This window comes from Homo sapiens, chromosome 1 (genome assembly GCF_000001405.40).
Source record: "Homo sapiens chromosome 1, GRCh38.p14 Primary Assembly".
Classification (NCBI taxonomy): domain Eukaryota; kingdom Metazoa; phylum Chordata; class Mammalia; order Primates; family Hominidae; genus Homo; species Homo sapiens.
Genome location: NC_000001.11, coordinates 121228579 through 121253921, shown reverse-complemented (window position 1 = coordinate 121253921; position 25343 = coordinate 121228579). Strand labels below are relative to the sequence as shown.

Here is a 25343-nt window from a genome sequence, read left to right as displayed (position 1 = left end):
AAACGAAAAATAAAAAAATTAATTTATAGCAGTAGGCACCTGGTTAGTATACTGCACAAGAAAGTACTCAAAATAGAGAATCATTATTTCTGGGTATGTTCTGAGAAGGAAGATTTCTACTTGGATATATTTTACCCCTGGGCATGTCCAGGTTATAAGGCCCAGGTAGATAATACAGTTCTAAAGACTCAGGGTTTCTCTACTGTCTCAGTAACTCGCCTCCTGTTTCAGGAGGGCCAGAAGCAGCTGCTGGTCACTGCCAAGCAGACAGGACAGCAGCTCTGTTCCCCCTTGCAGTCCTCAGTGCTCTGAAGCTCACCCTCCATTCTACTCTCCTTCTGGCCTCCTGGAAGACTAGGGTCTTATAGGTTCTTCCCCATGAGTCTTACGAGAGAGCCTTCTAATGATAATTCACTGTTACCTGGGCCTGGGCTCATAGGAAGCACACGCCACAGTGAGGGGAGAAACAGATGCCCATTTCCAACAGAAACATCTGTTCCTTCCAGCTCAGGAAAATCTGTTGGCAGAGAATCATGTGGTAAGATTTTTTTGTTAGGAAAAAAGCTAAAATGCACACCACAGAAAAATGGACCAGTGCTATTAGGATACAACCAGTCCTCTATGCTTTTTTTAATTTTTTTTTTTTTTTTTTTTTGAGATGGAGTCTCGGTCTGTTGCCCAGGCTGGAGTGCAGTGGTGTGATCTCGGCTTGCTGCAACCCCTGCCTCCTGGGCTCAAGTGATTCTCGTGCCGCACCCTCCCAAGTAGCTGGGACTACAGGCATGTTCCACCATGCTAGGCTTTGTATTTTTAGTAGAGATGGAGTTTTGCCATGTTGGCCAGGCTGGTCTTGAACTCCTGGCCTCAGGTGATCTGCCCACCTCGGCCTCCCAAAGTGCTGGGATTACAGGCATGGGCCACCAAACCCAGCCATTCTCCATGCATTTTAAAGTAAGGGAACCAAAATCCTGCTTCCTGAAATCTTGCCCATTGTTACGAAAATCTGAGTGCCACACTTTTGCCCACACAGGTGCAACTCCCACTTAGATACAGCTCCCTGACCAGTCACTGCTCCAGGGCAAAGTCCAGTGTCACTGAATGAAAACCATGAGTTCTAGAAAGGAAGTTCATTTGAGTTTTTCACTAAGTAAAGGTCCATAACCATCCGTGTCGGTCAAGACCCTCCCTGCCAGGCCAACATAACCTGGAAACTGGGAAACCCTGAAGAGAAGTTACATTCTTTTAGACTCAAACAACACCACCACCCCAATCCACACCCTGGCCTTTTCAGAAATCTACAGGGGCACTTTTTGTTTGTCAGTGTCTAGGGAAGTGCTACTGGCATTTAGTGCAAAGGGAAAGGAATGTAATGTCCTAAATGTGTGGAACAGTCCCAAAATGCATCTAAAATGCCAATGGCATCTCTGCTAATAATCACTGTATAGAAATAGTTTGGTTTTATTGGTTTCGTCTGTTTTCCTAAATAGGTATAACAGTCATTCACCTGGGGGAAACATTCTCAATACAAAACAGTAAACAATGACAAGTAAGTTTCCCTCTCATCCCTACCCTTCCCCAAAGGTCTATACCTCTGAGGAAACCATTTTCTTATATATCCTTCAAGAAATACTAACTGTGTAAACAAGCATCTGTGTATATGCCCCTTCCCTTTTTAAAACGTGGCACGTGTGCCACATTTTTTTCATTTAACAGTGTGTCTTGGAGATTTTTCATATTAGTACATATCAATCTGCCCCTTCTTTCTACCAGCTGCATAGCATTCCACTGCATAGCTATGCTTTTGTTTATTCAACCAGTCTCTTTTTTTGGTGGTACCTGCCATTGTTTCCAATTTTTTGCTGCCATAAACAATGCTGTAATGAATGTAGATGTGGGTGTATCTACAGAATAAAGTGGTAGAAGGAAACCAGTAAGTCAAAGGGTATATACATTTTAAATTATTTCTAATACTGCCCATTCAACAATATAGGAGACTTCTTGCTACTCTGTACTCAGAATGCAATGTATGAGCAAATGTTTTTTATCTAATATGTGAAAAATGACTACATACTGTACTTGCAATTTAATTTGTATTCCTCTATTATGAATAAGACCTGGCATCATTCATTTCCTATGTTCATAGGTTTCCATGTTGCAATAAGTCTTTGCGGGTGTTAGTAAGTTATTTAGTTAGTCTGTTTGAAACAACAGTTCATGTTCTTTACTCATTTTTTCTTTGGATTACTGATCTTTTTTGACTTTTTGTTGACTGTGTGAACACTTTATAAAGGAAATTAGCCCCTTCTCATGTGTTGCAAATATTTTTCCCAGTCCATCTTTTGGTTTTATGATATTATTTTTAACCATGTAGAACTTTTAAAATTTGTCAATCTTTTCTTACATAGCTCCTGAATTTTCAGTCAGGCTTACATTATATTCCATGGTTTAAAAATATATACCTCTATATTTTCTTTTAATATTTTTATGGTTTCATTTTGTACATGTATATTTTAATCAATATAAAATTTACTTCCATATAAGGAGGAAGACAGGGATCCAATTTAATTTTTTCCCAAATGGCTACCCAGTTGTCTCAAAACCAGTTATTGAAAAATCCATTCCTCTCTCCCATCCCACCAATTTGAAATACCATGGTTTACTCTATGCCAAATGCCTTTGTGTATTCGGCTGTACTTCTGCATTCTCTACCCTGTTTTTCTAGACTCTATTTTTAATTTGGAGATGGCAAAAACAAATCTAGGGAGCAACCTTGAAGTGTCATAAAGAAAAGAAAATGGCCTTTAGAGCCTAGAGGCAGTGTTCATAGAAATTGGAATTAAAAATCATTCTCTCTGATGACTCTAAGTCCAGCTATTCCATGGGACTTTACCCCAAGCCTCATCTTCTGCTTGTAAATAGTTTATATTTTTAAATGTAAACCTTTTATTAAAATGTAACATAGATACAGAAAGGAACACAACTCTTAAGTATCCAGCTTAAAGAATTTTCACAAAGTTAACAAAATCATGCAACCAGCACCCAGATAAAAAATAGAGCATCGCTAGTGCTCTGAAAGCCCCTTTGGCTTCCCTTCCAGTCATTACCCTTCCATAAGGGTGACCATGATATGGATTACTATCACCATAGATTGGTCCTGCCTCTTTTAAAATTTCATATAAATGGAATCATATAGGATGCACTCTTGTTTCATGCCTCTTTCACTCCTTACTATGAGATTCATCCATGTTGTTTTGTAAAATTCATATTCATACTCTCATTATATATGTAGTATTCCACTGTATGAATACACCACACTTTGTTTATTCATTCTACTTCTGAAGAGCATTTTGGTAGTTATTTGGGTCTTATAATTAACACTGCTAAGAGCATCTCTGTATGCCTTTAAGTCATCCTACTAGTTTTATCCTTTCTGAATCCTTTTGTTTTAGGTATGTCTCTTCTACAGAGCAATGAATTGGTTTTGCTTGAAAGTCAATCTGAAAATATTTTCCTTTTATTAGGTGATTTTCAGCTCATTTATATATTTATATTACTGATATATTTAGTCTTAAGCCTGTCATATTATTTTATATTATTTTTACTGTTTCTATTATGTTAAATTCACTCTGTGGTTTGTTTTCTTTGCCCGTTTTTCTATTTAGGGGAGTCCGCATTTTTGTTCTAGTGGTTATCTTTATACTAATACTTTTTATAATGTCCTTAGCCCCCTTTTGTTCTTACTCTCCTACTATCTGGTTTGTCAGCTTTCAATAATGAATTCTTTGACTCCCAATTATTTATTAACTTTGTGACAGTCTGATTCTATTCTCCCCTTTTTATCTGCCTTCCTCCATTCTGCTCCCATTTTTATTGGCTTTATTTCTATTTTTCAGAACATATATCATTTACACACATTATTCTTCCACCCTTTCCTTACCTTTGCTTTAGTCTTATATCTATCTTAAAATATATTCCATGTTTGAATACTATACAGCCATAAAAAAGGATGAGTTCATGTCCTTTGTAGGGACATGGATGAAACCATCATTCTGAGCAAACTATCGCAAGGAAAAAAAAAACCAAACACGGCATGTTCTCATTCATAGGTGGGAACTGAACAATGAGAACACTTGGACACAGGATGGGGAACATCACACACAGGGGCCTGTCATGGGGTGGGGGGAGGTGGGAGGGATAGTATTAGGAGATATACTTATTGTAAATGAAGAGTTAATGGGTGCAGCACACCAACATGGCACATGTATACATATGTAACAAACCTGCACATTGTGCATATGTACTCTAGAACTTAAAGTATAATTTAAAAAAAAAAAAAAAAAATATATATATATATATATATATATATATATATATAGTCCATGTTCATCATAAGCCCTTTTGTTAAAATTTTCCCAAATCATATTTGCATGGAAGAACTTGTCACCTTCATTTTAAAGGATATTTTCACACTGTAGAGAATTTTATTTGTATGTTATTTTCCTTATTTTGAAGATATAAATCCATTTTTTTCTGGATTCCTTTTTTTCTATTGAGAATTCATCCATCACTCTTTTCTATTCACTCTGCATAAAACCCATCCACTAAATTCTTACTTTCATTTATTATATTTTTAGTTTTATATTTGTCACTTTATCCAGTTTTGAATTTCCAGTTCTCTGCCAAAATAATATATCTTGTTTTTATCTTACCCTTAAACATATTTTGAAAAGTTATTTTTAAATCCATACCTGATGACTCCATTATCTGGATACTCTGTGGATCTGTTTCTATTATTTATTACGTCTCTTAGTTTCAAATTATTTTGTTATGTTACCTCATATGCCTGGCTGTTTTTAACTGCATACTGGACATTTTATATGAAAAAATATAGAAATTAGAGAAATAATTTAAGACTTCTCCAAGAGGATCGTCCTTTGCTTCTGAGATGGAGCTAAGAAAACTGGCCATCCAATCAAGATCCTTAACCCAGTCAGGGAATGAGAGGGTATGAAGCTGGGCCTCAGTCTCTATGAGGGCTAGTCAATTTTCCGTTCATACTCGATCCTAAAGTTCAGCACCTCAGAATAGCAACCCAAAGCCAAAGATATTTGCCACGGCCCACTCTCCTTGGCAGGTCCTAAATTTTGAGCCTCTAGCACCATGAATGTTTGAAAGTGGCCGGGCTCGGTGGCTCACGCCTGTAATCCCAGCACTTTGGGAGGCAGAGGCAGGCGGATCACGAGGTCAGGAGATCGAGACCATCCTGGCTAACACGGTGAAACCCCGTCTCTACTAAAAATACAAAAAATTAGCCCGGCGTGGTGGTGGGCGCCTGTAGTCCCAGCTACTTGGGAGGCTGAGGCAGGAGAATGGCGTGAACCCGGGAGGCGGAGCTTGCAGTGAGCCAAGATTGCGCCACTGCACTCCAGCCTGGGCGACAGAGCAAGACTCCGTCTCAAAAAAAAAAAAAAAAAAAGTAAGTTTTGCTGGAAAGATTTCTAGCCTCTCAGCTGCCTCTTTAAGAATCAGAAGATATGCCTCTAGGGGAAAGTTTGTCCCAATGTCACTCTCGAATTTCCTTGTTCTCCAAGATCTTGGCTCCATAATATCCTACTGCTTTGTTAGCTCTCCACTGACTTCAAACAGATTACCAAAATTTTGTCCCAATTTTGGATTATTCCCTATGGAATTATATTGTCCATGATATCCAGAAGAAGACCTCCAATGAAGAAACCTGGAGGAGGGACAAGCATAGCTGGTAAGGCAGCTTGATGATTGTCATTAAGGATGCAGGGCTCCATCTATTTTTCTTCAGTGAGTTAACACAGCACTTCACATCACAAGATGGCAGCTGAATGTCCAGGCATCTCATCATATTTTAAGCAATAAAAAATACAGAAGGTCGGGCGTGGTGGCTCATGCCTGTAATCCCAGCAGTTTGGGAGGCAGAGGCGGGAGGATCACCTGAGGTCAGGAGTCCAAGACCAGCCTGACCAACATGGAGAAACTCCATCTCTACTAAAAATACAACATTAGCCGGGCGTGGTGGCACATGCCTGTAATCCTAGCTACTCGAGAGGCTGAGGCAAGAGAATCGCTTGAAACCAGGAGGCGGAGGGTGCAGTGAGCCGAGATCGCACCATTGCACTCCAGCCTGGGCAACAAGAGCAAGACTCCATCTCAAAGAAAAAAAAAAAGAAACATAGAGAATGAAAACAATGGGCCATGCCAGCCAGGTCTGTTTCCTTTCCCATATTTTTTAATAAAAAGAATGCCTTCTTTGAGTTATGTTTGCCCTATTCATAATAATTTGCCTTCTCTTTTATAACTGGAGACTCTGAAGAGTCACATAACCTCTTTAGGTCTTAGTTTCAGTCAAATGAGTGACCTGCACTAGATGATCTCTAAGCACCTTCCAGCTCAAACATTCTTAGATTCTATTAACTTGCTTATCTTCTCATTATTTTTAGGAGAAAAGTAGAAAGAAATAGGAGAGTTTACCTATTTAAGAGGCAAGAACTGAAGTCTAAGGATGTAGAATGTCCAGAGCTTTATCCCCTGAATGGCAGAGGTCTCAATTTAAGTTAAATCAATATACCAAAACCTAGGTTTAAAAATTAAGCTGGAGAGAAAAAAACACGTTCACTTTATGAAAAATAATTCTAATCTTCTGGCAGGTTTTGTTATAATGCTTTTCTAATGCCTTGAAATTATGATTAGATTTACAGTAATTCAATTTGCACACAACTTTCAAAAATATCCACATGCTCTTTTGTTCATCTCTAATTACTATTATTTTTCTGAAACAGACCAATACACTATTCTTGGTGATTCCTAACACCAAGAATATCAAGCATTCCTTCTCTCTTGGTATTTCTGTGACCGTCTTTCTAGGACTTTAGGAGCAATTTTCTAAGTGCCTCTCAAGCCCAAATCTTCAGCTATTAATGAACATTCAAAGAGAACATCTTTAAATCCCCAACTTGAATTTTTATATTTTTACTTCTTTAGAGGTGGAATGTTGAGACATTCCATATATTTGGTTAAAACAAATATGAAAAGATTCCTTATTTTTCTCCACCCTTCCTTACATTCCTCATGACCAACCATCCTCCCAAAAGGAAGCGGGGTACAATTTGTCTACATTATGCCAAATATTTCAGCTTTTTAGTTTCACCATGGAAAAAGCATTAAACTCAGCTGAATTATTCATGAGATCCTAGGTAACATGATCATTGTTTTTGGCCTTTGGCTTCAATACTTTCAGCCTTGCAACTCATTTTAGAGTTTCTGAATGGGGTTAACAAGGGACTTTGCTATATACACATCATTAAACTGTTGGCATGTGTCCTGGCATGGAAATTTACACTGTATCAATAAACCCATATATTTGCAAGGATGTGTGTGTCTTCAATGCTGTTCTTACTTTGATCAATTTTTCCTACTTCCCTGGAGTTTCACCCAGATCAGATTTTTAGAGTATGTGCCAACATGAGATGACTAAAATATTCGAGACAGAAAGAAAAATCTGAGCCCCAGTTTAGAGATTCTCAATCTTCCTCCAGGGATGATCATAAGACTGGCTTGATGGATGAGGGGCAAATGTCACCATGCACATCACTCTGAATTCCCTTCATTGCAGTAGCAAAAGCATGTTTCCCAGTTTGGACATAGAATTAAACAGCCCATACTCTTCCAGTGCCCAAAGTTTTTGAATGAATTGATTCTTCCTTATAACTGTCATTTAGACATGCCTCCTCTCCTGACCTTCTCCTATTCTCATTGCTTTGGTTTGCCCCAAAGAAAAGGAAGAAAAGAAAAGCAGATAAAGCTCTCCTTTCCCCATTACAACTCCCAAGTAACACTTTTCTCATTTCTTCCCATCAAGGCAGAATAGGTGCTGCCCACCCTCGTACCAAGAGATTTCTTACGGTCACACAAAGTAAATCATCATTGCCAACTGGCACTGAACCTAATGTTCCTCAATGATCAGACCTGAGCTCTATCCCTATGTTTCTTCCAGAAAAGTTATAACCATTCTCAAAGTTTTCACTGGAGAGCATTTAAGATTTAAGGAAATATGTCATCATTCTATTTCCTTCCAAAATTATATTATGCAAGATATAAACATTATGCATCAATTTGCATTCCACTTCTCCCCAGTGTGAGAGTCTGGTTAATACAATTAAACTGGATCAGTACCTACTAAGCAACTAGATCTCTGGAAAGTCTGAATGCTGAAGATGGATGCCCTCGGGGAGGGGCTTAACACAGCACATAAACAAAGCTCAGATTTCATCTTCCACTAAACCCAGCAGGACACTAATGAGTTTCTAAAGATGCAGAGCAAACTAATATCATTCTCGGTTGTCATTTATTTTGGAGTACACTAGTTATTTAATTTTGTCACATGCTACCAAGTAATACAACACATTGCTTTCTTGCCTTCAGTGTTATCCCCTTTCCAAGGCATAAGAAACTACTCTAGAAGTATCCAGAGTCTTAAGACATATAGGGAAATATTAAAAGTCATTAATATGAGTCCTGGGGGATTCCCATTTCCTTCTCATAGCCTCTTTGTTCTTTGGAGATTTTTCTATCACATGATCTTGTTTATTTTCTTTTATAGCACTTATCTCAATATTTAATTATCTTAGTTTATTTATTATGTCTCCCTCATAGATGTAATCTCCATTAGAGAAGAGACTTCTGTGTTGTTCACTGTTATATCCCCAACCTAACAGTGCCCAGCACAAAGTTAAATACTCAATACATATGTATTAAATGACTATTAAGGCAGTAAGAATGGGCTGGGTTCTGCTGCATGAACAACTAACCCCCAAAATTTCAGTGGCTTAACCTCACAAAAGCTCATTTATTTTTTATGCTGTGTGTCCAACAAGGGTCAGGGAGGGGCAATCTTTCCATCATTGTAGTTCAAGAGCTCAGATTGACAGAGGTTCCACCTGCTCACAAACTTTCACCATCACCAAGGCAAGAAAAGAGAGCACTGAACTGTCCCATACTGGCAACTGCTTCTGCCCAGAATTGCCATGTATGGCCACATTTTGCTGGCCAATGCAAGTCAAATGGTACCCCTAACTTGAAAGGGAAGGAAGGAAATAGATGTGAGTAAGCACTGGAAGCCTGTAAAAAATTAAACAGCGACTCCAGAATCTTGCTGTTTTAAGGGGTTCATTTGGTCCAGCCCTGTTTCCAGGCAAGGCTGCAATCAGAAGGTAACAGATAACAGCAGATGTACTAAACAAGCAGACAAACTAACAATGGACATTAAGTACATCATACCAAGAGGCTTTTCAAAATCAGTAATCAAGTGGCACTATCAGGAGAACCTTTATAGGAAAAAAAAAAAGTCTTAATTGCCCAATCAAAAGGAAATACTTGTATTCCTTATGTCATTTACCTTAGGAACAAGGTAAATGATTCAGGTACGCTCTGTATTCATGCTCTTTTACTAAAACCTTCTTGGGGACTAAACCAACTGTAGGAAAATATCCAACAATTTGACGTCATGTTTTCAGAAGACAAAAAAAAAAAAAAAACCCACGATAAAACCCTGTTCACTGAAATCCCATTCATACATTTATTTTTTTACCAAAGTAATACATGCGAACAAAAGCAATCAACTGGTGGCAGCATTTAGGCCCACTAAGACACAACCACCCATTACCAAAGAAGGCCTGCACATCATTCTGACTCATGTTTGGAACTTTCTCTAGAGCACATCTCTTGGTATTTCCTGCAGATATACAGCAAGCAAGATTTCATTCCTGCCAGACAAGCTTTTTTTTTTTTTAATCTCCACCAGTCAGTCTCTTACAGTGAGATAACCTCCAGTCACAACTCTCTCTCCAAATGAATTCCCAAGTTGCCATGGCAACTAACACCTTCCTCCAATACTGTCAATATGCTTCCCAACCCTAAAGGCAGCCCTCTTGATTTACTGCCAGAAGTACCAATCTCCTCATGTAAAAGAGAGTGCCTTCCTTTGCTCCAAAACTATCATGAGATTCTTTAGAAGACCCTCTGTTAATAATATTAATAGTATCAGCTACCACCTATTGAGGGCCAACTTTATTTCTATTATCTCATTTAATCATTTCAAAAAAAAAAAAAAACAAAAACACTGCATGGTAAATATCACTCTCTTTACTTTACAGATTTAAATAATTATAAATCGGAGGTTATATAACTTGACCAAGAGGCAGAACCAGGATTTGAACACAGAATCTTCTGGCCCAGATTATCTCTGAGGCTTCCTCCTTTGACACAAGATCTTTTCCAGCTCAGAGGAGTAACTTCATCTGTCTTGTTCTCTCAGCCTAACCTTGCTTCTTTTTCTAAAAGTGCTTTCTACACTTCAAGACAATTTAGTTTGCTTTAATAACAACACTGCTCTAAATCCAATGGCACTTAAAGGTGTGTTAATGCTGATTAAACATTAAGAGAGAAAAGACTTCATTCTCCTGCTCTTCATCTCCAAGGGCTTTGGTGGGGAAGAATGAGATAATGGGTGCTAAGGGTTTTGTACTGAGAATGAAGGTATACAAGATCAATACCCAGCAGATATTGAGGTGTCCACAATGTGACCAAGTGCCAAGGAATGTCCATAAGGGTAGAACTGCAGCCAAGTCTCCTGGATTTGCTTCCTTGGACCCCTTCCTCGGGCCCCACGCCTACCCGTATGACCACATCCTCACTATTCTCCCCTAAACACAAATCGAGGGACATACAAAGCAAGCACCGTACTTACTTCTTAGCCAATCCGTCCCCTCCCCCATCCCCAACACACAGGGAGACTTTATGTTAGCCTTGTAAATAAGAAACACCATTCCACAGTTATTTTTCCAGTCTGCCTTTTTTTTAACTGCTCACCTGGCAGAAACTGTTATTCTCCTGGCCAGCAGCTATTTGTAAAACTGGTCTGCCTCCTTATTTTTATACCAAAGATACTAATTCTTTAGTAGAAACGGGAGTATTCCAAATAAGACAATTAGCAAGTCACCTAGAATTTCCACCCACTCCACAGAGGCACACAAACAAGAGAATTAACCCAATTTGTTGTCTATAATAAACAGGACATTCTACCCACCACAGAGCCCCAGAGGTTTGTACGAGATTACTAACTCCTAGTAGTAACGGCTACAATGGCCCAGTTCCCTATTTTATTACTGTGTGCTGAAATTTTAAAGGCGCTCCTCTCCCACCCCCATCTTCCCTTGCATACTTCTGCACATCAATCCATTAAGAATCTGAAGTGTAATTTATCTTATTCACTATTATCCTGTTAAATTGCTCTACAGCTGCCATGGCAGTAATTGCAGTGATCAGTGATTCAGACTTCTTAAGCAAAGGGTCTTAAGTAGGTTTCATTATTAAAATTTCCAAAGGTTTTATTATTGAAATAAACCTGAGATAGAACAGTATGCCTCCATGGGGCAGTCATACTAATGATTCTTAAGTTATGAAGGGATGTCACATTCATCATCAATGTTGCACTCATGAATACGAGTAATTGGGAATTTATCAACCAACAAAACCAACTGGCATTCTAAGAATGAAGAATAATAATCTCATTTTAAGTAGCATATGCAGTGCTGTGCGACCCTTTAAAAAGCTGCCTTTGTTCACTGAAGTATTGCTTGTAATAGCAAATACCGGAAACAACTCAAGTGCACATTTGTAAGGAACTGATTCAATAAAGTAGGAGGCAGCCATCCACACAATGGAATACTATGCAGCTCTGATATACGAATGAGAAAGCTTTCTCTGTACCAACAAGGAAAGATCCCCAAGACATACTGTTAAGGACAAAATAGTACACAACAGGTTAGATAATGATTTACCTTTCATGTAAAAGAACGTGGAGGGGTAAGAACATATGTTCATATCTCCTTTTATTTACATAAAGAAACACTGCACAGATATATAAGGAACTATTAAGAGTGACACCCACAATAAGGAGCAGGGGTTCTACAGGGTGGACCAGACAGGAGTGGAAATAATACTCGTCAACATATGCCTTTCAAAAAAATTTTTTTTCATATTTTAAATTTACCTTTACTACCTATTTATTTGGTTCAAGGCTCCATTTCGTCCACTTTGGGACTAGGTAATCAGGCTTTAAACTACTTACCTCTGCCTGTCAGAAGTCACTAACCTCATGACAGGAATAATTTAGGTTAGAGGAGTAGCAAAACTATTACTCAACTGTTTCTTTAGAAAAGGAGAAACTCATAAAACATGGGACCCTAAAATTTGAATATTATATGTAAGACGGGGTTAAAATGTGTTCAAAAAGTGTCTTCTAAAAATGTACAAACAACAGAGGTGTGACAGTATGCTGAAAAAAATATGAGGGGGGTGGAAGAGCGGGATAGAGAGTGGTCCTCCTTCCCTACTCCCTTTACAATGTTGATTTCATCCTTGGGTTTTCATAATGAACTTCTGTAAAGGGGAGATTTGCATCCAGTTTTAAGACCATTTTCAGCACAAGTGCTTTTTTATTAAGTATTTCTGTGGTTCCCCTTCCCCAGACAAAAAGGAAAGGGGAAGCTATTGTTCAGGACTTCTAATGGGTTTATCTAGCTTTGTGGGTTAAAAGAACCCACAATATTTAATAAATTTAATAATATTTAATAAATTTATTAATATTTAACAATGTTTAATAAAACTTAGCCACTTACCTAACCCTTGGGTCAGAGAGTTCTTGCTCTAACAAAACACCAAGAACAACTAGACACTTCTACCTACCCATAGCCTCAACTAGATAAATGCAAACATGTTGGCTCACTCCTGTAATCCCAGTACTTTGGAAAGCCAAAGTGAGAGGAACACTTGAGCCCAGGAGTTTGAGATCAGCCTGGGGAACATAGGGAGACCCTGTCTCTACAAAAAATAAAAAATTAGCTGGGCTTGGTGGCACGCACCTGTGGTCCCAGTTACTTGGGAGGCTGAGGTGGGAGGATCACTCGAGCCCAGAAGGTCGAGGCTGCAGTGAGCTATGATCATGCCATCACACTCCAGCCTGGGTGACAGGATGAGACCCTGTCTCTTTTAAAAAAAAAAAAGATAAATGCAAATATGAATCACCTACAGAATTAAAAGGCCACAAATGTTCCAACCTTAGCAGAGAGTCTGGGAAGAAACCTCCACCACTGCCCCAGTCAACCCAACTAAGAGAAAGAGGTTGGCAGCCAGAGGAACAGATAAGGCAAGGCTTCATCTGAGCCTATCAGCTTCTGCAGAAAAAATATGCCATGGTCATGGGATGATCTGACTGACTGACTGATGCAAACTGTCCACACAGCTAGTTTACCTTTGCCTCCTCTCTGGATCCAAAATGTAATGGAAATGAATGCCTTATGAAATCCAACCCTGACCTTCTCATCACACACCCTTCTTAGGAGAGCCCACACTAGCTAACGACTCCAGAATTCTGGTTACCATAAGTCTAGGCATCATGCCACCGAGCTCTGTCTTTCCAACTACCTTTTAGACATCTCTACCTGGATGTCCCGGGAGTCTCATGTCCAAAGATTAATTCCTTCTTCCTGGCAGTGTATGCTCTTTGTATCTCCACTTCTCCTGTCTCAGTTAATAGCCTGTTGATTGATCAATTTCATTCTAGGTTCATGGAACACCAACCATGCACCAAGATCCCTGAACCAGAAGCCTGAAGGGCATCTACAGTCCTCCTTCTGTCCTACTCCTATTTCTATTCACCTTGTCAACAATAAGCTGCACTGATTTTTTACCTCCTAAATATTTCTCAAAACCTCACTTCCCCTTCATATTCACTGGCACTCCCTTATTCAGCATCTCATCATTCATTCAACAATATTTAATGAGTATAAAGCATACCTAGGTGTTTTTAAACAGAACAAAAACGGTGTGATCTTTGCTTTCTGGTGGCTCAACATCTAGTTATTTCTTATCTGAACTATTCAGATATACTCTTGTCTCCTACCATTAATTATCTCAACAGTAGCCAGAGTGTCTCCTCAAAACTTAAATTAGATCATTTAATTCAGGGATAGTAAACTCTTTCTATAAAGGCCAGATAGTAAATATTTTAGGCTTCTGGGCCATATGTTCTCTGTTGAAACTACTCAACTCTGCTCTTGTATGACTGTTCCAATATGGCTTATTCATAAAAATAGGCAGCAGGACAGATTTGACCCATGGGCTGTAGTTTGCTGACCCCTGATTTAATTAATCACAGTGCTTCTTACTCCACTGGAATTAATCCAGATTCCTTCCCATGGCTTAGAATGTGCTCCACCCTCAACTGACTATTACTTGCTCCTCTGGGCTCCACCATGCTCCAGCTACTCTGACCATCTTTACGGTGCTTACGCACCGTGCCAAGCCTGTTCACATCTTAGGTCCCTGCACTTGCCGTTCTACCCATCAGGACCACTCTTGCCTAGGTCTTCTCATAGCTGCCTCAGCTCAAATATCACCTCCTCAGAGAGGCCTTCACTGCCCATTCCCATTAGTACCCATCCCAATGCCCAAACACTCTAACTCCCATAGCTCTATTTATTTATTTTTTCAAATTACTTATCACCATCTGAAAAAATATCATTTGTTGCATGTATATATATATATATATAGTATATATATATATAGTATATATATATATATATATAGTATATATATATATATAGTATATATATATATATATATATATATATATATATATATATATATATATATAGTCTGCTTTCCTACCACCACACTACTCTACCACTATTAGAATGTAAGCTCCATGAGGGCAGAGACTGTCTTATTCACTCACCCCCTAGGTTCCCAGCACCTGGATCAGTGCCTGGCACTTAGCAGGGGCTCAGTAAATATCTATTATCTAAACTGTTATTGCCTCTAGTCTCCCTCCCTCCAACCCACTGGTATCTTCACTGCCACCAGTGATCTTTCAAAAATACAAATGAGACCAAATATAGTGGCTCACACCTGTAATCGCAGCACCTTGGGAGGCTGAGGCACAAGGATCGCTTGAACCCAGGTAGGTGAGGCTGCAGCAAGCCATGATCACGCTACTGCACTCCATCCTGGGAAACAAGAGTGAGACCCCATCTCAAAAAAAAAAAAAAAAAAATAGCAGTGTGTAGTGGTGCACAATTGTAGTCCCTGCTACTTAACAGGCTGAGGCAAGAGGATCACTTCAGCCCAGGAGTCTGAGGTTACAGTGAGCTATGATCACACTACTGCACTCAAGCCTGGGTGACAGAGCAAGACTCTGTCTCATAAAAGAAAAAAAAAAAGTAAAATGCAAATGAATCATGTCACTCCCCTGCTTAAAATATTTCCATGGTTCCCCACTGGCTTTAAGATACAAATGCAAATTATGTGGCAAGACCACTATAGCTCTTATCATACCTTCCCACACTCTCGCAGTAGTAGACTGTGAGCTCTAAGTGGTAAGGACCAACTCCTGTTTATCTTTTTATCTCAGGTACTCAGCATAGTACCAGGCACATTGTTGGTGTTCCATGAATGTAGAATGAAATTAATCAATCAACAGGAGTACAACAACTAGCACAATGCACGATTCTAATGTGGTAACTCAATAAGTACCCAATTTAAAGGCAAGGAAGCAAGATTTTACACAACACTCTTCCTTTCTTTTCTTTGGAAGCAACTTGGGTGGGGGCTATGCTTATAACTCTGAATCTAACTTTGGATTTTGTCACCCAGATTTTACCTGGCAGGCAGCCACTCACCACTTTCTAAAAGAATGGCAGGAGAAGGCAGGGAGCTAGGTCATGCAAATCTATCATGCTGTTTCCTGTGATCAGCTCTGGTAAAAAGGTTAGGAAAGGAGACATAACATGAAGGCTAAAATGCAACTTAGGGATTCTCCATGTATTCCAAGTGTCTACATTCTCCCTGTCATCTATTAGCAAAGAAAACCCAATGCTGGTTCTTTTGCTGTACAAAATAACCTAAGAGGTTCAGGGACTTTCTTTAGAACTGCCTCACCAATAGAATGGGAATTGTTACTTCTAGAAGAATTTCCATTAGCCCTTTAAAATCCTTCAACATTCATTAAGGCCAAAGAGATTTCACCTAATTTAGTCTGACGGGTATGTGAACAGTCTTTCTAGGGAATACAGACTCCCAAATTGTTCAGCTGGGAAGTAAGGAGGGAATTTATTACTCAAAATCAAAGGGAAATGAAAAGAGGGCAACCCGGAATTCATTACTCCCCTTCTTGGTAGGGGTAATGGGTTCCAGAGTCATTCTGTTACCTTTACTATGACCTCCTTACTTAGCATCTAAAAGCTTCTGGTGTTGGATGCAGCCAGGTAGGTTCTCTTCTAATGTAATAAAATCTGCTTCAGCAAAGCTTATACAGAGTCATCTCCAGACTCCAGAAATAATAGACTATAAATTACTGGATCTCCCAGTTGATACAATGAAGTGTAAGTTAGCACAGTCCTGAATGACCACTCTACACGCTACTCTGAGTGGCTCAAAGTGAACTTTGACACAAAGACTGGAGCGAACACATAGCACAGCTAGATCCGGGATTAATTCGCTTGAGCCCAGCTCCTCACTACTCACCTATGAGTCCAGTTCCAGAACCCAAGTAGAGGATGGGGGAGCAAAGCTCCTAGCTTTTTCCCTACTGTCTGCATCTCTTTCACATATCTTATCTTCTTGAAGAAGTTAAACAGGCTCAACTAAAATAACTAAATGATGAAGCCCTATACAGACAATCACCAGAGATTCACAAAACTGCATTCAACACAGTTACACAGACAACTTTGAGGATGACTTGATGTACCAGCGATTTACCACATTTGGGACCATTCAAAATTCCTGTCAAGGATCTGCCTATATCAACATGGGAATCAAGAACCAACCATTCAAATGGGCCCTGCTGCCAAGCCTCTTTATAATGCCATCTCTTCATATTGTTCCATTTAACAAAACTGCAGCCTATCATCTAACCTTAAATCCCTTTGCCAATGATACAGAGCCAGAGTATGCTACTCCCTAGAGCAGGAACTCAACATGATGACCTACTAAACACCATTCAGAAGATGCTGAGACTCATGAATTGCAATAGGAAAAAAAAGACAGAGAAGTAGTCAGCCAGGTACACGCTGTGTCAAAAGTGCACTACAACCCCCAACCCCATTCTGCTTAATCCTAGCTGGGCTGACACCAACCTGACGAGACAGGCCAATAAGATCTCGAACTGAAAGAGGAACTCCTGAACTGGATTCTTTAGAACCCAGGAAGCAGCAGAGTAAATCATTAAAGACCAGATAAGATCTTGATGAGGTGAGGGAGGGTTTCAGTTAAATGGAATGCTGGTAGAACACAGGGCCCAAAGGAGAAAAGTTAACCTGAGCCCAGGTGGAACCTTGCTTACTAGAGTATTAAGCATGAGTTGGGACAACTATTCTAACCAGAGAAATTGGCTCCAGTGAGGGCAGTTTGGCAATCCAAGGTATGGCATGTCTATGGCTGGCAAAATTCAGGGTGACTGAAGCAAAAGTTTCAAAACCATAAAGACTACAACGGGGGTAGAGCACAAAATTCTCAAGAGATGAATCTTTGTAAGAGTGAGGCAGAACTACATGGTGGTTTTCGATCTGTTGATGCCCAACAAGAGCTTCTACTGGCTATAAGCAGGGGTGCAGGCTGTAATCGCAGGAAAGGAGGTTCACAAAAGTAATTCAGTCCTAGAGCCCAAACTGTGTTCTCTACTAAAAGGAATCAAGACCCCCTAGAGAAATGGCTGACTCCATGTATGGTGCAGGATATAGATCCTGGAACACCTTTTTTTTTTTTTTGCCAGAAAACAAGGAAGCCATCCAAGTCCAACAGGATCACGTCAAAAGGCCATGGGAGTCAACTTGAAGAGATACTTATTAACCTGAGACAATATGAGCATCTAAAACAATTAATAGTGACTACAATGGGCTCAAATGCAAACAATAATCTATGAGCTCATTACGATATTCAGGAAAAAAAACTATTGGTCACTACAGTGGAGGTTACTAGTCACTAACTCATTATTCTGAAAAATGACTTAAAATGGGAGATAGGGTGGAGAATTAGGTATTTATCCAGTTTTTCCTGTACAAATGTAAATGTTTAGGGAGATTGAAGTAGATGAAACAAGTCTGGCAAAATTGAGATAACTGTTTAATCCGGGTGTTGGGTACATGGAGGTTCATTATATTTCTTTCCCGTATATTTTATATTTGAACCCCCTCCTAAAAAAAAAAAAAAACAGAAAAAGCAAGACAGAATGTGAGCTAAGCAGCTTAGGGTTTAGGCAAGGCTTCTGCCTACAAGAGAGACTAGGATATGAGGGGTAATATTAGTCCTGATGGGCCAAACCAACTGGAGGGATATAGGGAGGTGCCAAGTTGCAGAGGTATCATGTTGCCCAGCACTTGATCTAGAATCCTAGATTCTAGGTCTGGTTAGTAGCAGATTTACTAGGTGGTAGATCTGAGGCTACCTATAGAACTTCCTTTGCAGTCATAATTAGCTCAGAAACTACAAAAGGGCTTGCTCTTGAAAATGGAGCCTTTGTCTATTTCATGCTGTTATAACAGAATGCCACAGACTGCATAATTTAAAACAAAAAAAAAAAAAGGATCGATACCATCCTGGTTAACACGGTGAAACCCCGTCTCTGCTAAAAATACAAAAAAAATTAGCCGGGCCTGGTGGCGGGCGCCTGTAGTCCCAGCTACTCGGGAGCTGAAGCTGGAGAATGGAGAATGGCGTGAACCCGGGAGGCGGAGCTTGCAGCGAGCCGAGATCTAGCCACTGCACTCCAGCCTGGGGGACGGAGCGAGACTCCGCCTCAAAAAAAAAAAAAGAAAGAAAGAAAAGAGAAAGAAAGAGAGAGAGAGTGAAGGAAGTGAGGGAGGGAGGAAAGAAAAGAAGAAAAGAAAAGAGAAAAGAATTTCTTACAGTTCTGGAGGCTAGGAAGTCCAAGGTCAAGGAACCTGCCTCTGGTGAGGGTCTTCTTGCTGCATCATCCCATGGCAGAAGGCAGAAGGGCAAGAGAGAGCGAAAGAGCAAGAGGGCAAGAGGGGCTGAACTCTCTTTCACAAAGGCTAGCAAAGAAGTATGCACAGGTTAAGGGAAAAAGTCACAATGAATCCTGTAGTACAGACTACTTTATCAAAAGCAGCTAAAAAAAGATCTCATTAACTCCCCCAACTCATCTCCACCCACATCTAAAGAGCCACACACAGCACCACCAAAGGCAGCAGAATGAGAACAGCGTTCTCCTCGACAGACCAGCTGTGAGTATCCAGACAGACACCCGACCTCAACAGCTCCAGAGCAGCCCCAGAACAGCCCCTCCCTAACCACCACTCAAGTAACCAGCTGGGAAAGTATTCAGAAAACCCGCATCCTGACACACCACTGCCAAACAACTTAAACAGCAAAGAACAACCCATCTAAACAGCAATGCCGGCTGCCAGGAAAAGTTGTGTAGGGACAATGAGTAGAGGAAAAGCAGATCCCTTGGGGTCCACCAAGAGACCCAGTCTCTCAGCTTCAGCACTTCCAAATGCACAATCCATACACCTCTAGGGCCTGTGGATCTCCACGAGGCATATTGTCTCCTTCCATCTCCTCAAAGATAAATGAGCAGGCAAGCTGGCCAGAAAACCACTCAGGGTATTACTCTTTAAAGAATCTTTATAGGGTCAAAGAGGAATGGGTCTACAGGCTATATGTATTCCCCAAAGATTCTCAGGATGATGTCAGAATCCCTTTCCAGATGTGTTTAACACTTTGTGGTCACTTGTATTCCTGCCACTGAGCGCCAGTGCTTTGCTAATTTGAACTGATTCCAGCTCACACTGACTCCAGCTTCCTGGATCTGATTACATTTAGCCAAGACTGTCATCCATACTGTACCCTTTCAAAGAGTCCTAAAAACAGCTCTTCACCTACTCTTTCAAGACAAGTAATAATATCTGCCAAAGAATGGGGAAAAAAGATGCAGAAAAAGAATACAATTAGCATACTACCAAGAAAGCAAAAAGCGAAGGGAGAGGAGAAACTAAAAAATTACATGTGGACTCACACTTATTTCTAAAGCTGTGCTAATATCTTTTTGCTTGCGTCTAAGGCACCAATTTTAAACTGTTACTGGGGGAAAAAAAAAGAGAGAGAGACAGAGAGAAAGAAAAAAGCAGGCCTAAATCTTAAAGTAAAACTTTTAGCATAGAAGATAAGAATTGGTGAGAATTCCATTCCCGGTTATTTACCCTATAGGCTAAAGAGCTGCCTCTGCCTCTAAGGATCAGGGCATTCTGTGTTTGATGGCAGAACCTAAGTCAGAATCCAGCACAATCCCTGACAAGTGAGAACCTCAGGGTAAGTTGTCCTGACCTTGAGATTGCTTCTCTACCTCTTCAATTAAAAAATATATATAAGGGCCGGGCACGGTGGCTCATGTCTGTAATCCCAGCACTTTGGAAGACTGAGGCGTGTGGATAACCTGAGGTCAGGAGTTCGAGAACAGCCTGGCCCACATGGCGAAACCCCATCTCTACTATAAATAAAAAAATTAGCCAGGCATGGTCGTGGGTGCCTGTAATCCCAGCTACTTAGGAGGCTGAGGCAGGAGAAACACTTGAATCCAGGAGGCGGAGGCTGCAATGAGCCAAGATCGCACCACTGCACCCCAGACTGGGCGACAGAGCAAGACTCTGTCTCAAAAAAAAAAAAAAAAAAAGAACCAAGGGGGAGATCCCTCTTGCCACCTCAGTTGTTTGAACTCAGCTACTCAAGGTCCACGTTGTCCAGATCAAGGGCTCCCATGAGTGACAGTGAGGCGGATCTGATCACTTAGAGGGCTAAAGGTAATCCTACAAAACCTGAAGATGTACAAGGAGAATGCAGCTGCTGCTCAGAAACTCCACTAGCCCAGCTTGAAAAGACATCATCTACAGGGTAATACCCAGTTCTCAATTCTAGGCCTCATAGTTTTGCTGAGTGTCTCAGAAAACTGTCCTAAACTTTTCTGGCCTTTCTTATTTTGCCCACCTAATGTAAGAAAACTAAGCTAAAATAAATTTTGTCACCAAACCAAAATGAAGCTCTCCAGGTGGTGTAGCTACTATAGTCAGGAGACTTGAACTTCCCTTAACCCAAAAATGGCTATCTGGAAGTCAGCATCCTCAGAGTACGTTTCAGATGCAAACTAGAAATATGTCAGTGTAAACTATGAAAGTGCAGAGCCTTTGCTTCAGTAAAACTAGATGCAGCAAAACCACGGGCTTTATGCATGACTGGTATTGTAAGAGAGGCCACAGGGAGTAGAATTAAATATGACACCTCCTTGACATATGATCAAAGCTCCTTCTAACCTCAATTTGGGGCACCATATATCACAAACCAGACAGCAAGAAATTAAGTAAATGTAAGTCTTTTTTTTATGCCATCCCAATTACATCTTGCTCAGTTCACAAACATGTTCCAGCAAATGCTGGAGGAGTTTTTCTCTCTTTAGGAGTCCTCCCTCACTTTACCCTGTTTAACAAAAGACCTCACACACTTAGAAAGAGGATGGAGGCAGGCCAGCTTCAGGACATGCTGCACAGGGAGGACTGACTGTCCCAAAGAGGGGGCTCTACACCCCTCTGACAACTCCACAATAGACCAGCTACACACAAATGCCTGAAATAAGGAAGTCCATCAAGAAAATGAACAGTTGGCGAGATCAAGGCTTCTGGCCCAAAGGGCCTGCAGCTGGTCTGGCCATTCATCAAAAAATCTGAATTTAAATGGAGACACATTCGACTGTGACATGTAATAAAAGAACTGGAGCAACAAAGGGTCTTGATTTTGGTTTCCTTTCCACCCTACACATCTCCTGCCAATGGAAGAGTGAGCGTGCCTGTGGTGCTCCTGACACATCTGGGGTAGTTCCCATTCACAGTGCTCACCCTTTGGGACTTTCCACACATTACAGGGTCATCGTCCATCTATGCTAACCTAGAATGTCCAGATAAAAGCTCCTGTTTAGAGACTGGAGAGAAAATTGTCAACTCTGAAAGCCCACAAACTGTCTCAGCCAGGGGGAGCACATGCAGGAAAGACTACAGAATCGTATGTCAGAAGCCTAATTTCAGATTGACCCCTACAGCTTTATGACTGTGAGTAATTCACTTACTTTCTCTAGGCTCTGTTATTCTCACATCAATAATGAGAAAAGTGGACCAAACAGTCCCCCAGATCCCTTCCAATCATAACATCTTCTGACTTTATGATTAAAGAGTGGTACTAATAACGCTAAATCTGTGGCTTAACCCCAATAGGAGTCTTCTGGGATTATACTAAGAAAAACTATCCCACACAGACAGAGCCATTCTGACCATGTCCCTCCCTACACTGACCATCATACAGATATGTGCCACTGGTATGAGAAGTCCTTTTTACAGAGGACATTGACTGATTAAATAATAGGCTGATTTATTCATTCAACCAACAAATATTTACTGAGCAGCTTCTAGGTATTTAGGGATACAACAGAACAAAACAGACAAAATCCCTTCCCTTATGGAGCTTACGTTTTAGTGAAGGAGGAGGGGGAGTCAGACATCAAATAGGAAATATGAAGTGGGGTATATTTTATGCAGAGTAGCCTAGAGGGTCTTGATAAGGTGACTTTTTTTTTCTTTTTCTTTTTCTTTAATTATACTTTAAGTTCTGGGATATATGTGCAGAATGTGCAGGTTTGTTACATAGGTACACATGTGCCATGGTGGTTTGCTGCCCCCATCAACCCATAATCTACATTAGGTATTTCTCTTAATGCTATCACTTCCCTTGCCTCTCACCCCCCGACAGGCCCTGGTGTGTGATGTTCCCCCCACTGTGCCCGTATGTTCTCATTGTTCAACTCCCACTTATGAGTGAGAACATGCGGTGTTTGGTTTTCTGTTCCTGTGTTAGTTTGCTGAGAATAATGGTTTCCAGCTTCATCCATGTCCCTGCAAAGGACATGAACTCATTCTTTTTTATGGCTGCATAGTATTCCATGGTGTTTATGTGCCATATTTTCTTTATCCCGTCTATCATTGATGGGCATTTGGGTTGGTTCCAAGTCTTTGTTATTGTGAATAGTGCTGCAATAAACATATGTATGCATGTGTCTTTATAGTAGAATGATTTTTAAACCTTTGGGAAAGGCCTTTGATAAGGTGACTTTTGAGCAGCAATCCAAAGCAGTGAGAGAGTGAGCCATGCAGACACTATGGGAAGAATGTTCCAGGCAGAGGGAACAGCAGGGCCCTGAGACAGGACAGGGTCAAGCATGCCTGGCATGTTAAAGGAAACACCATGAGCCCAGTGTTTATTAAGAGGAGAAAGAGCAGGAGAGTAGTAGGAAACACAGTGAGACAGGTAGTAGAAGCCAGATCATGTAAAAACTGGAAAGTCACTGGAGAATTTGAACAGAGGGGTAAACATGATCTGAATTCCATTGTAAAAGGATTGTTCTAGCTGTTATATTGAGAGTAGACAGAAGGAGGCAAGAATGGAAACAAGGAAACCAGTTGGGAAACTACTGAGATAATCCAGGTGAGAGATGATGGCAGATGGACCCAGGGCAACAGCAGTGAGGAGTAAAGAGGGACAGAGTCTGGGATATATTCTGAAGTTGAATCAATAGAACACTGGAGGACAGGATGATCTTGGAAAATCTTGGGACTACTGCAGAACCTAATGAAGCTAAACGGTACTAAATTCCAACATCCACTGTGAAATCCCAAGATTAGGGATTTGTTCATCTCTGTCACGTAGTGTCCAACCCAGTACTTGGCACATAATGAGGACACAAAAATCTTGAATGAATAAATGTGGAACTGAATATATTACAAAGCCAAAAGATCTGCAGTTTGATAGGTCTTTGGGAGACCAAAAAGCATCTGGTCCTCGACATATTTCACCAACAATGAATACCCCTCCCCTGAGTGAATCCATTTATTTTTATTAAAAGTTCCTCTTTATAACTTATTTCACAGTAGTAAGCAATGAAGCTGACAAACAACTTCACATAATACAGCTAAGAATCTGAACAACTTGGTTATTTCCCTGAGAGGCCGGATGCAGTTACCAAACCTTATACCACCTCAGCAACTCCCATCTAAAATACAGGGACAAATATTACACAAACAGTAAGCTTATGCTCTTACAGATAGTAAATCATGAGGGTAACTGAAAAGGTATGCTTATGAATAATAATATTATAATAAGCAAGGAATAAAATAAGCCAAATCTATACTATTCCTATACGAGAAGCCAATGGGCTACTCTTGAATGTGCTTCACTTCCTCTGTGAAGCTGAGAACAAAAATGCCTAGATTTTTTTTTCCCAATAGCACTGCTCTGAGAAAGGTAACAATTCCCAACTGCAGAAGCTCCTCTGTCAAGATGACCCTTGAGAGTCCCAAAGTTCTTAACCCACAGAGACTGACAATGTACAAAATACAGAAGCAGAAAACCGAGTATAGGAAAAAAGGTACATTATAAACTACATTCTGGCAGCAGTTTCCTCGGTTAAGTCATTGATCATCTTGAAGGGCTAAATTAAAACCCAACATTAATCTGGCAGTAGGTGTAAAAAACATCTTATTTACCAAAATAGAAAAAGGAGGAAGAAAAATAAGACACGTAAAGTGTTTGAGATCAAATTACATTGTAAGGGAAGCTGCAATATTTGGAGACCGAGACCTAGACAGATTCATCAGCTGAGTTGGAAATCATTTGATGTGACCTTGGACTAATTATTTAACTTCTCTGCCTCTGTCTCTCATCTGTGCCTGAGTCTCCCCTCAATGTGAAGGAGAACAAATGATTTCAGCCCCCTCCTATCTTAACAGGGATGTTATGAGTCTGAGATCACAGAGGACACTGTCTTTAGTAAGATAATTAAGGACCAGGCTGCTCTTAGAAACACCCCCACAGTATGGAGGCTCCCTCTCCCTGGCATCATTTGGCTTCAGAGTTGGGCAACCAAATATGCCCACATAACATGACAAACTCAGGGTTTGGGGCCAGCATCTTGACAGATACTGTCAGGAGCCCTAGATGTGAATCCATTCTCACATACATAATTACTATATTCAAGTGTTTAATAAACATTTAGTAATGCTTTTAAGTCACCAGTATCTTCACAAGAAATGACCATATTGTTGCCCATCTATTAGAAGAGATGGTGTTCAAGGTATGAAGTAGTAGAAGGTTCGTGATCATGAACCCCTGGGCAAGTCAAGATCCTCAATTGCCACCTCTATAGG

The 25343-nt window shown here is 40.3% G+C and overlaps 1 protein-coding gene across 2 annotated transcripts in view, besides 1 other annotated feature; it reads right to left on the bottom strand.

The window, feature by feature from the left end:
• Window positions 1-25343, bottom strand: part of SRGAP2C (SLIT-ROBO Rho GTPase activating protein 2C) — a 207900-nt gene that overhangs the window by 138953 nt on the left and 43604 nt on the right. The gene's annotated exons all lie outside the window — the stretch shown is intronic.
• Window positions 18268-19042: an enhancer, noted in NCBI's record as "H3K27ac-H3K4me1 hESC enhancer chr1:120787669-120788442 (GRCh37/hg19 assembly coordinates)". NCBI's record gives its function as "activates a minimal SCP1, AML or CMV promoter by ChIP-STARR-seq in naive H9 embryonic stem cells {active_cell/tissue: H9 hESC(naive)}" and the evidence as "EXISTENCE:reporter gene assay evidence [ECO:0000049][PMID:30033119]".